This window comes from Homo sapiens, chromosome 2 (genome assembly GCF_000001405.40).
Source record: "Homo sapiens chromosome 2, GRCh38.p14 Primary Assembly".
NCBI classification, from domain to species: domain Eukaryota; kingdom Metazoa; phylum Chordata; class Mammalia; order Primates; family Hominidae; genus Homo; species Homo sapiens.
This window is the reverse complement of record NC_000002.12, coordinates 176,912,616-176,925,127: the sequence shown is the minus strand read 5'-3', so window position 1 is coordinate 176,925,127 and position 12,512 is coordinate 176,912,616. Positions and strand designations below refer to the sequence as shown.

The 12,512-nt window shown below is 36.9% G+C and overlaps 1 annotated feature.

Annotated features, from left to right (window-relative positions):
* Positions 11,259 to 11,429: a silencer, noted in NCBI's record as "fragment chr2:177778427-177778597 (GRCh37/hg19 assembly coordinates)". NCBI's record gives its function as "represses an EF-1alpha promoter that drives an FKBP-Casp9 reporter gene in an ReSE screen in HepG2 liver carcinoma cells {active_cell/tissue: HepG2}" and the evidence as "EXISTENCE:reporter gene assay evidence [ECO:0000049][PMID:32094911]".

Below are 12,512 nucleotides of genomic sequence, written 5' to 3'. Positions count from 1 at the left end.
CAGGGCCGGCTCAGCCATGCCAACCTGACCCTGGGTTCCAGCGCTGCCTTCACTCATCTGGGAACATGTGGCTTCACACTTGGTATGTGGAGTTATAGTGCTTGAGGACCTGCAGTCCGCAGTGAAATAACTAGTGTGAAACAGTGAAATAAATGATATGATGTATATTTTTAAAAACATATGTATTTCTCAAACAGTTTTTTTTTAAATTTAAAGCATATACACTTTCATTCACCATTTTAAAAAAGTGTAGGCCAAGGTTGTTTCTTTAATTATGACAGACAGTTTGGGCTTTCTGGCATAAACAATATCAATAATGCTTTTGTAATTTCTAGGTTTCTATTTTTGCTTGTTTTGAAATAGAAAACTTAGAGAGAATTAAAAATTGAGCACAGGCCTCTGTTAAATCAGCAGTTCTCAATCTTGAGAATCACTGCTATGGACTTTTTGATTTGTAACAGCAACATTCCTTTCTTACTTCCTTTTTTTAGGCAATTTGATTTTGGCTAAATTTTGCAAATCAACTTAAATTTCATAAAACAACTGTTATCTTTCTTTTTGCATTTATAATTTCAATAGCAGTTACCAAGAACATAAATAGGCTGGACACAGACCCATCCCACTTTTGTTAAATTCCCACCCAAATTTGGAGTGGAAAGTGCATGGGTAAAGTTCTACTGAGGAGTGCTCCATGTGCTTTACAAAGGGAGTAAAAATGACTGACTAATGAAGTAAGTGGATCAGCAGAAGTTCATTAAGAAAGATTCTACTGGATGTAGATATGTGTTTAACCATTATCATTTTGTTAAACAAATTTTTGTTTATACTTTTTAACTTAAAAGCTGAAATGAATATCCTTATAAATCTTTGTCTGTGTAAATGATTATTAGGATACATTTCTAGAACAAGAATTATATATCAAAAAGATATGGGCATTTTGAAAGTTTTTGGCATATATACTCAAACTGCTTTCCAAAAAGATTGTATGAATTTATATTCCTACCATGTCTTTACATCTTTACTAATTCAAAATATTTTAAATTAAGAAGCATGCTAATTTTAACCCCAAATTTTGGCTTTTATTTTCCAGCAATAATTTATCTGATATAGTGAGATTGGGTGTTTAAAAATTGTTATTAACAATGTATTTTTTTCTGTGAATTTTCAGTTTATATGCTGAACATAGCCTGATTTTCAGGTTATATGACCATAGAGGTATGCTAGTTAGCCCTTGGTAATTAACTTCAGTTAATTTAAACAGAAAAAGAATCTGTTGAAAAGTTGTTGGGTAGCTTACAGAATTCAGGGGAACACTGAGAACCAGGCTTGGGCAGGAGCCAAGGGGGAAGGGGCACAGTCCACATCCTGCTCAGGAGTAGCCTGTTAAGGCACCACAGCTACCACCTTTACTGCTGGACAATGGCTGGCACCATGGCCGGTGGGCTATGACTCCGTTGGCCTCTGGACTCCACCACAGAACCTGTGAATAATCTCCAGTGGATACTCTTCCTTTCTGTCTCTACTTCACAGACACAAACGCTCAGGTGGGAGCAGCTGATTAGCTGTGTTTAGGTCGCAGGGCCTCCCACTATGGGCCAGCAAGCAGGGATGGCAACCTGTCCACCATGGGATTTCCTCCAAAGGGAAAAATGTTGGATTTGGGCACCTAAATGACAGAAATCCACTACCGGCATGTGGTTTTATTCAAGTGTATGAGCTCCTTATATGCAATGTATAGTGACGTAATATCCATCACAGTTTGGAAAAAAAAGTATTTTACCAGCTTGTTTGCTTTTAAATTTTATTTATATTGTTTTTTGAAATAGAAAAGTTTAATTTTTTCATGGAGTAAAACCTATTGACTTTTTACTTTTTTTATTTTACATTTTCTATTATATTTATGCCTAGAAAACCTTCCCCAATTTTTTGCTTATATATTTATCCACTTTCAAAGGTTTTTATGGTGTGTAAGAGTGTGTGTGTGTGGTGTAAAGGAAGGATCTAATTCTTGTCTATTTATCAGGCCCACATGATTTAAAAAAATTTTTTTATTATTATTATACTTTAAGTTCCAGGGTAGATGTATACAATGCGCAGGTTTATTACATAAGTATACATGTGCCATGTTGGTTTGCTGCACCCATCAACTCGTCATTTACATTAGATATTTCTCCTAATGCTATCCCTCATCCAGCCCCCCACCCCCCAACAGGCCCCAGTGTGTGATGTTCCCTGCTCCGTGCCCAAGTGTTCTCACTGTTGAGTTCCCACCTATGAGTGAGAACATGCGGTGTTTGGTTTTCTGTCCTTGTGATATTTTGCTGAGAATGATGGTTTCCAGCTTCATCCATGTCCCTGCAAAGGACACGAATTCATCCTTTTTTATGGCTGCATAGTATTCCATGGTGTATATGTGCCACATTTTCTTAATCCAGTCTATCATTGATGGACATTTGGGTTGGTTCCAAGTCTTTGCTATTGTGAATAGTGCTGCAATAAACATATGTGTGCATGTGTCTTTATAGTAGCATGATTTATAATCCTTTGGGTATATACCCAGTAATGGGATGGCTGGGTCAAATGGTATTTCTAGTTCTAGATCCTTGAGGAATCGCCACACTATCTTCCACAATGGTTGAACTAGTTTACAGTCCCACCAACAGGGTAGAAGTGTTCCTATTTCTCCAAATCCTCTCCAGCATCAGTTGTTTCCTGACTTATTAATGATCGCCATTCTAACTGGTGTGAGATGGTATCTCATTGTGGTTTTGATTTGCATTTCTCTGATGACCAGTGATGATGAGCATTTTTTCATGTGTCTGTTGGCTGCATAAGTGTCTTCTTTTGAGAAGTGTATCAGGCCCACATGTTTATCTAGCTGCATTGACTGAGTCTTTTCCCACTGATTGTGATGGTATCTTAATTGCATAATAAATTCTTTTATATACCAGGTGTGTTTCTAGGCTATTTATTCCATTCCATTGATCTGCCTTCTGATTTTTGCTGCAGGTTTTTGCAGTTTAATTGCTAAAACTTTATAGTATGTTTTTATCACCGAGGTCTTCTTTCATTACTCATGTACTTGTTTTTTGTTCTTCCCAAAATGTGATAGTCAGTTCTTTTTTTATGGTTCCAGTTAAACTTTAAAAATTAAATCCTATAGCTAATTAATTAAATTGACAAATAAAAATTGTATATATTTATGGCATACAACATATTTTGAAATATATTATTGTGGAGTGGAGTGGCTAAATTGAGCTAATATATATGTATTACCTCACATATTTCACTTTCTTGTGACAAGAACACTTAAAATCTCCTCCCCTAGTGATTTTCAAGTATACAGTACATTGTTATTAACCATAGTCACCATATACAATAGATCTCTTGCACTTCTTTTTCTTGTCTAATTGAAATTTTGTGTCCATTGACTAATATCTCCCCACTCCCTCTCTCTCCAGCCCCCGGGAACTATCATTCTACTCTCTGCTTCTATGAGTTCAACTTTTTTAGTTTCCACATGTGAGATAATGCAGTATTTGACTTTCTGTGCCTGGCTTATTTTACTTAACATAATGTCCTCTAGGTTCGTCCCTGTTGTTGAAAATGACAGGAATTCCTTCCTTTTTTTTTTTTTCAATCTGAATAGTTTCTTTATCCATTCATCTGTTGATTAACACTTAGGTTGATTCTATATCTTGTCTATTGTGATAGTGCTGCAGGGTATATAAAGTGGAGGTATCTCTTCAACATTCTGATTTTACTGATTTTATTCCCTTTGGCTATATTACCAAAGTACCAGGGATTTGGTCTAGGCCCTGTTGGTCATCACACAGAAAGCCAACACGGAGACAATAATTATCACAAGGATAGGAGGCTTTATTTGGGTGCTGCAGCCAATGAGATGTGAGATCAGTCTTAAATCCATCTTCTCAACTGACTAAAATTAGGTTTTTATACAGGAGGGGGAGAAATGCACCCGTGTGTGGGAAAATAGGAATTGGGGAGGGATAAGAAAGAGGAGTTGGTCAACAGAAAGCAGGTGGTCAGACAGGCAATCATCACAGGTGAAGGGTTTGGCATCTAATTGTCCAGATGCAACAGAGATAAAAGGGAGGAACCAAAAAATTAAAAATGAGAAGAAAGAGGACATAACAGATACATTAAATTTTAAAAGAATTATTCTTTATGTTAATAAATTTTGATAATTGCCATTCTAAAAGGTGTGAGGTGGTATGTCATTGTGATTTTGATTTGCATGTCCCTGATGATTAGTGATGGTGAGCACCTTTTCATATACTTGTTTGTCATTTATATGTCTTCGTGTTAAAATTTATTCAAGTCCTTCGCTTGTTTTCTAGTCAAGTTGTTTGTTTGTTGCATTGAGTTGTATGAATTTCTTATATATTTTGGAGACCAACCCCTTATCAGATGTATGGTTTGTAAATCTTTTCTTCTACTTTGTAGGTTGTCTCTTCACTCTATTGATAGTTTCTTTTGCTGTGCAGAAGCTTTTTAGTTTGATTTAATACTACTGCCAAACACCAAGGGTTGAGTGTAGGTCTGGTTGCTTGCTGCACAAAAAGCCAATCATTGAGACAATGAGTATTGCTAGGGAAGAAAAGCCTTATTGCAGGTAACATCAGCTGTGAGATAGGAGACAATTCTCAAATTCATCTCTCCAACCCACTAAAGTTAGGAATTAATATAGGAGTTTGTCAACAGGCAGCTGGCGGTGGGATGAGGGGTCTGGTGTTTTATTGTAACCACATGCAGTGATCTGTAAAGTTTTCATTCCTTTATACTATTGGGAGAAAAATTGGGCTGGTTTCAATCTCATTTGCCTATTTTCACTTATTGCCTGAGCTTTTGGCGTCGTATCCAAAAAAGTCATTGCCCAGACCAATGTCATTGTTTCAGTTAAACTTTAGAATAATTTACCAAATTCTGAAAATTATCCACATGAACATAGTTAACTCTTCAAATTAATTTTAGAATATTTTTTAAAATATTGTTATAAAATTGGGTTTTCCTATGCAGAAACATTTTTTCAGATATTCCTTTGTGTTTGATAAAATGTTGCAGCTTGTTCATTTTCATTGTATGTCTTCATTTTAAATATTTTTTCATTTGAAAGCTTAAAAAAAAAAATCACCGGTAGATCAATCTGACCCTTGTGCCTTTGATAACCTTCCATTTTTTATCTGGTTGTTTATCAATTTAGATAATCTACTTTTTCTTAACACAATTGATGATTTATGCTTTATTGTGATATAATCCATTATATCAGTATTTACAAACGTATTAACATAAAGAGTAATTCTTTTAAAATTTAATGTATCTGTTATATCCTCTTTCTTCTCATTTTTAATTTTTTTGTTCCTTCCTTATATCTCTGTGTTCTATATTAGGTTTGTCAGGTCTTTGTCTAGTTTTTCCAAAAAGCCAGCTGTTGTTTGTATGTATCACATAAGCACTTTTCTGTTTTCTAATACTACTATGGCAGGGATTAAGGATAAAGACTCTGGACTCAGACAGACCTGGATTAAATCCTGACTTTGCCATTTGCTAGCTGTGTGATCTTGGGCAAATTACCTAATGTCTCAAAAATCTTAATTTCTTTATTTGCAAGCTATAATGATACCCATCTCTCAGGAATAATGTGGGGATTCAATAAGATAATTATTTAAGGCCCTTGGCTCAGTACCTGCCTCATGGTAGGTGGTCAGACATCATCATCATCATTGTCATTATCATTTTATTTTCAATTTATTTTTACCAATTATCAAATTGATCAATTTATCAAATTATTCATTTATTTTCCTAGGCGACTTAATTCATTAAAAGTGTGAATTCACTTCTGATTGGAATTTTGGCACTCTCTCACAACTTTTATTAGTATTCTCAGTCATGTTATTTCTTCATTATATTATTTAAAAGCTACTCTGTTATTGAGGATTTGATTTCCTTTGTAACTTAGTTTAGAGAAATGTTTGTTAAAGATTCTAAGCTATTGGTTTTACTTATTTATTAGTTTGTCTCAATATGTGATAATAGTTTTGGGGTTGATCATATTGTGGTTGGAAATTTGTGGCCTTTAGAATTTCCGCTTTGGGGAATTAATTGCCGTTTTATAGTCTAATATATGAGCATTGCTTATTAAATATTGCTATTATATGGTCTATAACAGTGTTTATGACCATTCTCCCTTCATTGTAGATTATACCTTTTATCAATAAATAATTAAATTTTTGGCCTGCTTATTGCTTTTTGGCTTGACTGCTGGTTTGTAAGCTTTCTTTTGCTTATATGGATCAGATACATGTTTACTCATGCTTATGCCACTTACCTTTATGGGTCACTTAGGTTCTGGTGGGTTTCTTTTTCTTTTTTTCTGAGACAGGGTCTCACACTGTGGTCAGTGCAGTGGTGCGATCTCGGCTCACTGCAACTCCGCCTCCTGGGTTCAAGCAATTCTTCCACCCTCAGCCTCCTGAATAACTGGGATTACAGGCACTTGCCACCATGCCTGGCTAATTTTTTGTATTTTTAATAAAGATGGGGTTTCACCATGTTGGCCAGGCTGGTCTCGAACTGCTGATCTCAAGTGATCTGCCCTCCTCAACCTCCCAAAGTGCTGGGATTATAGGTGTGAGCCACCATACCCAGGCTTGGTGGGTTTCTTTTCAGTGGCAGAGTTAATTTTTATTTTTGAAGGCAATTTGAAAATATCGATCATTAACAGGTTGCTTTAACCCATTCATAATTTTTCTCATAATTTATGTTTTATCTTCTTTCTGATATTTTGCTATTTTCTTATCTGCTTATTTGCTCTGTAAAGTATGTTTTATTTACTTTTAAAATGTACTTTTATTACTTTATTAAGGTAATCTTGAAATATAATCTTATTTAAAATTTACTATTGGTTGCCTTTGAATTATTTTTAAAAAAATTCCTTAACATTTCTCAAGTCTTCACATTAAAATCCCCTATATACCATATCTTTGTTAATATAAACCTAGATTTAAGATATGTATTATTCCTATTACTTTTGTATGTAAGATTTTTCTTTCATGGATATTTTTGGACATTTACTTTTTGTTCTTAACAAATTTTACAATAATTATTTGATATAATTAAAATGTATACCTTCTTTTACGGCTCATTGCTAACCATTCAAAGCACAATAGTTCCATTCTTATGTTGTTTGTCTTAAATTATCTCTCAGTCAGAAAGAGTATGTCTTTAAGTAATTTTTTTCAAGAAGGGTTCCAGGGAAATGTATTTTCTAAGAGCTTTCAGATTTGAAAATAGTTTTCTGTTATTTTTGCCCATGAAAGACAACTTGTCTGGGCATAACATCATGGGTAGAACTGTTTCCTCAAAATTCTGTAGATGTTCTGTCTTTATAGAATTTACTAAGGTAAGAGAAACATCTGAATTTTTTTGATTTTCATTGATTTGAGAATGAACTTCTCTCCCACCTCCCCAGTCCCCTGCCCCTTGCTCACATGCTATGGGTTACTTTTTATTTATCTCTGACCTTCAAGAGTTCTCATAGCTATTTCTAGATATATCTTAATAGTTTCATTTTGCTTGGTATATAGCGGATTCTTGATCTGTTTATTATTGTTATTTTTTATTTTTATTTTTGAGATGGAGTCTCTCTCTGTCACCCAGGCTGGACTGCAGTGGCACAGTCTTGGCTCACTGGAAACTCTGCCTCCCGGGTTCAAGCCATTCTCCCGCCCCAGCCTCCTGAGTAGTTGGGATCACAGGCATGTGCCACCACACCCAGCTATTTTTTGTATTTTTAGTAGAGACGGTGTTTCACCATGTTGGTCAGGCTGGTCTTGAACTCCTGACCTCATGATTCACCTGCCTCGGCCTCTCAAAGTGCTGGGATTACAGGTGTGAGCCACTGTTCCCAGCCACTCTAACATTTTTTAAGGCTAAAAAAGGTTACAAATTGATTACAACTTTTGTTCCAACTCTTCTGTTTCTTCCTGAAAAATATGTATAGTTCTTAGGCCTTCCATATAAGACAAAAAACTTCAGGCGGGGTGCAATGTCTCAAGCTTGTAATCCCAGCACTTTGGGAGGCTGAGATGGGTGGATCACTTGAGGCCAGGAGTTTGAGACCAGCCTGGACAACATAGTGAAACCCCGTCTCTACTAAAAATACAAAAAGTAGCCAGGCCCAGTGTCGCGGGCCTGTAATTCCAGCTTCTTGGGAGACTGAGGCAGGAGAATTGATTGAACCTGGAAGGCAGAGGGCAGAGATTGCAGTGAGATTGTGCCACTGCGATAAATTTAACAGAATTTAATTGAGCAAAGAATAATTCCCAAATCAGGTAGTCCCTGCTACTCCAATCCAGAACAGCACTGCCATGTGGTAGAGGATTTATGAGTAGAACAGGGAAAGTGATGTACAGAAAAGGGAAGTGAGGTACAGAAACAGTGGGATTGGTCTCAGCTCAGCGTTTGCTTTACTTGAGCACTGACTGCCTGTGATTGGCCAAAACTCAGTGATGGATACAAGAGGAGGTTAGTTTGTTTACACATCCAGTTAGGTTACAGTTCACTATGTACTGAAAAACCTTCAGACTGAACTTAAAATACATAAGGAGGCAGCTTTAGGTTAAATTTAACACTTATCTATTATCTTCTCTTTAATTTTCATCTTTATTCTTTTCCTCTAGATACCAGAGGAGTTTCTCATGGTCTCCTACTTTACTGACCTAATGAACTGCAGTGTCATTTCTGTTTGAAATAGCTTCAAATGCAGATTTTAATTCCATCATCATTGCCTTTTGGTTTCACTTAAATTCTTTTTTACCTTAACACATTTTCATTATCCTCTCATCTTGCTGTCTTTTTCTGATGATCTATTCTTTCGCTATGGGCATCTGCTTCTATTCCATAGAGGCCATTATTTCTTGAATTCTTTTGAAGATTGAAATAATTTTCCAAAATTAAAAAAAATTCCTGTGATAAATCATTTTCAGAAGTCTGTGTTCCCTCCAAGTCTTTAGTATGATTTCTTCTATCTCTATTTCTATGTCATTTACCAACATGCATTTGTTAATTGTTCTTCTTGTCACTCTCAACAAGATCCATCTAGATTGGTGTTTCCAGCAGGCCCTACTCTCTGTCCACTGAATACTGGTTCAATTCTCTCTATAGAGCTACATCCAGAGGGCAAGCTCTGGGTGAGACCCAGAGCCACTAGCTCAATTTCTGGTGTTTGACTTGCTTTCTTTCCTTAAATATTGACCCAAGATTAGCTTTTGTCTTATGTTCATTTTGTTCCTTCTGACAGGAAAGCTTGTGGTATTAAGCATATGTGGTTGTCAGTTTTTTGTTGTTGTTGTTGTTCTCTCTTCCCTTATATTGTGCTGTCTTCAGTGGAACACCTTCTTGACTATAACGAGGCTCCTTTAAAACCTGCCTTCCCATTCTCTCTTGCTGACCAATTCTTTTTTAAGTAGCTACCCTGTTTTTATGAAAAAAGCTACCAATGAGAGATTGGATGTGGAAGGAGAATAACACTCCAGCTTAAAAAGGAACACGTATATAGTAGAAGGATGGCTGGCTGATTTAATGAGCCAGGTGGCAGACAGTGGGGAAGAGATAATGGGTCGTTCCAATTTCAGACAGGTGGGCTTTCTCCAGGGCTGGTGGCAAGCACAGGTGGGCCACTGATTGCCTTTAAAAATCTAGGTCCGTTGATCTTATAGTTAGTGGTAAGGTTGATTAGCAATCTTAATTTTTGGTGGCAACATAAATTGTGTGTGTATGTGTGTATTTTGGTGGAAAAGGCTATATCAGGGCCATTAGCCAGATGCCGTTTTAAACTGGAACTCTTTAGGGTCTTTTTACTTAAAAACTTAATTAACAGATTGCTTTTATCTACCAACTCATGTGGCATATGTGGGCTATAAGAAAGTGAAGGCCTAAAAGATGCCCAGTGGAATGAAGAGAGAAGACAGATTTGGGAATTGTGCTTCGTCGCTCACCTCTTTACCTCCCACTCACTCATCCACTGTTTCCTGCTGCCCCAGCACTCTTTGTTCTCACTCCTTGAATCTCTTTATTTTCCCAAGCCTAGATCTCTGGATTTAAGCCTTATTTTATATCCACTTTCTCATGTCTACCTGATACAGGTATCACGTTCATTTCTTTGCCGCCTCCCCAACAACTCCAGTTTTACTCCTCAGGTTCTCTTGAGATCATGATGATCAGGTACTCAATCTTTGCAGAAATGGTGTATGCTGGGATGGACTTACCCTTTACTTCCACCTTTTATAGGGACCAGTGTGTCAGCTTGTGCCTCATTTAGGTGGCAATTACAGGTAACAGATGGAGGAATGGCTGCATCACCCCCAACAGCTTGTAGATTCAAGACTGACCCTGCTTTTCTGTATAGGTCCAGCATGTTGCATGGAAAGAGGATTTAGGACTGGGCATCCTGCCTGTTCCAAAGGCATAATCCACAGCTGCTGTGATTTCCAGCCTGGTGGCGTGGCCTAAGATCCCACTTTGTGTGACGCTGAGAGAGGAAGCCAGGAAAAGTTTTCCACTTGTTGCGTGTAAGATCAGGATGGGTAACCTAGCAACACAGATTTCAAATAGTTTTGTCTTATTGGTTAAACTGACACATTGATGTAATTGTGCAAGCCAGGCAAATATGTAAAAAGACCTTTAAAACAACAAAAATTCAATTCTTTGATGTGAAGGCACAGGTCACCATTAAAATTCCCTTTATGATCCTGATGTTGAGGGTCTAAGTTATTGTCATATTTCATGTGTTAAAAAGGGTTTAATGTACTGGGCCCATAGATAAATCCTATATTCAGTCTCTTTTCTTTTACATTTCCATATTTTTTACAGCTGTTGCCACCATGAATATCCTCTATAAAAGTGGAGTAATTTCAAGAAGTATCATAAAGGCTGTATACTTCACCTGTACTTTACCTTTTTATTGGGTTGTTTTGTTATACCAGGTAAAAAATGCACTTGTACATTTCCTGTTTTCACTGGAGCAATGAGTGTGATCATATCGGAATATCAAATAATTTTTCCAAACAATCTTTTGCCTTTCATTGTCTTAAAAGAACAGATAAGAGCACTACATTGACAGTATTTTAACCATGTTATTACTTAAATAATACTTTTTTTTCCCCAATTACCATTAAGCCTGGGTGAAGTGGCTCATGCCTGTAATCCCAGCACTTTGAGAGGCTGAGGTGGAAGAATTGCTTGAGCCCAGGAGTTCAAGATCAGCCTGGGCAACACAGTGAGACCCTGCATCTCTACAGAAAATGAAAATTAAAAAATTAGCCATGTGGTGGTGTGCACCTGTAGTCCCTGCTATTTGGGAGGCTGAGATGGGAGAATTGCTTGACCTAGGAGTTCAAGGCAACAGTGAGCCATGATTGTGCCACTGCACTCCAACCTGGGTGACAGAGCGAGATCCTGTCTCAAAAAAAAGTATCATAAATGGAAACATTGTAAACTATGCTTACACAGCAGCAAATATACAAATCTTCATAAAAAATAAGGTGTCTAAATAATACCAAATGGTTAGATTTTGTCATTCGTTTTTGTATGCCCCAGTGCCTTGCATGGACATCTTAAATAATTATTTGGTAAATGAGTGAATATTTGGTGTGTTGCTGATATAACTTAGATTGCCTCTGCCATCTGATACTGATACTTGATATTAAATTATATGAGACTGAAAAGGTAAGAATGATTGTATTTGTGGTTTGCAGGTGGAGGAGAAAATTTAGATCATAAGAAGTCAGAGAATCAAATCATGCAATTTATTCTGGTACCAGCTTTTCATGAAAGTGATAGTTTTACCTAGGCATGGACCGACCAGGAACCTTGTTCTGTGGTTGTGCCAAGGCCCCTCTGTGTATAGACTAGAGGAGGCTTTTGTCCCTAAGGGAGATACTATGTGTGATCTCTGGGGTATGTGGTATCTTCTGGTTCTGCTATGATTGGTTTATGATCTGCTATGATTCCCTTCTGCTCATGGATATAACCGATCATGCTACCATAGTTGATTGATTGACTATGTATGTATGTATGTATGTTTTTAGAGACAGGGTCTTGCTCTGTCACCCAGGCTGGAGAGCAGTGGCACTATTATAGCTCATTGCAGCCTCAAGCTCCTTAGCTTAAGTAGTCCTCCTGCCTCAGCCTTCTGAGTAGCTGGGGTTATAGACACAGCACTTGGATTATTATTATTTATTTTATTTTTTGTAAAAACAGGGTTTCGCTTTGTTTCCCAGGCTGGTCTCCAACTCCTGGCTTCAAGCAGTCCTCCTGCCTTGGCCTCCCAAAGTTCTGGAATTATAGGCATGAGCCACTGTGCCTGGCCTTGGTTGACTATTTAAAACTACATATTACTTTTTTTTTTAAACAAAACAATAGGCTGGCTAGTAGATATTTTACATTTTAATTGGGTTTCTCTGGTGTTATAGAAATATTTCCTTAAACAC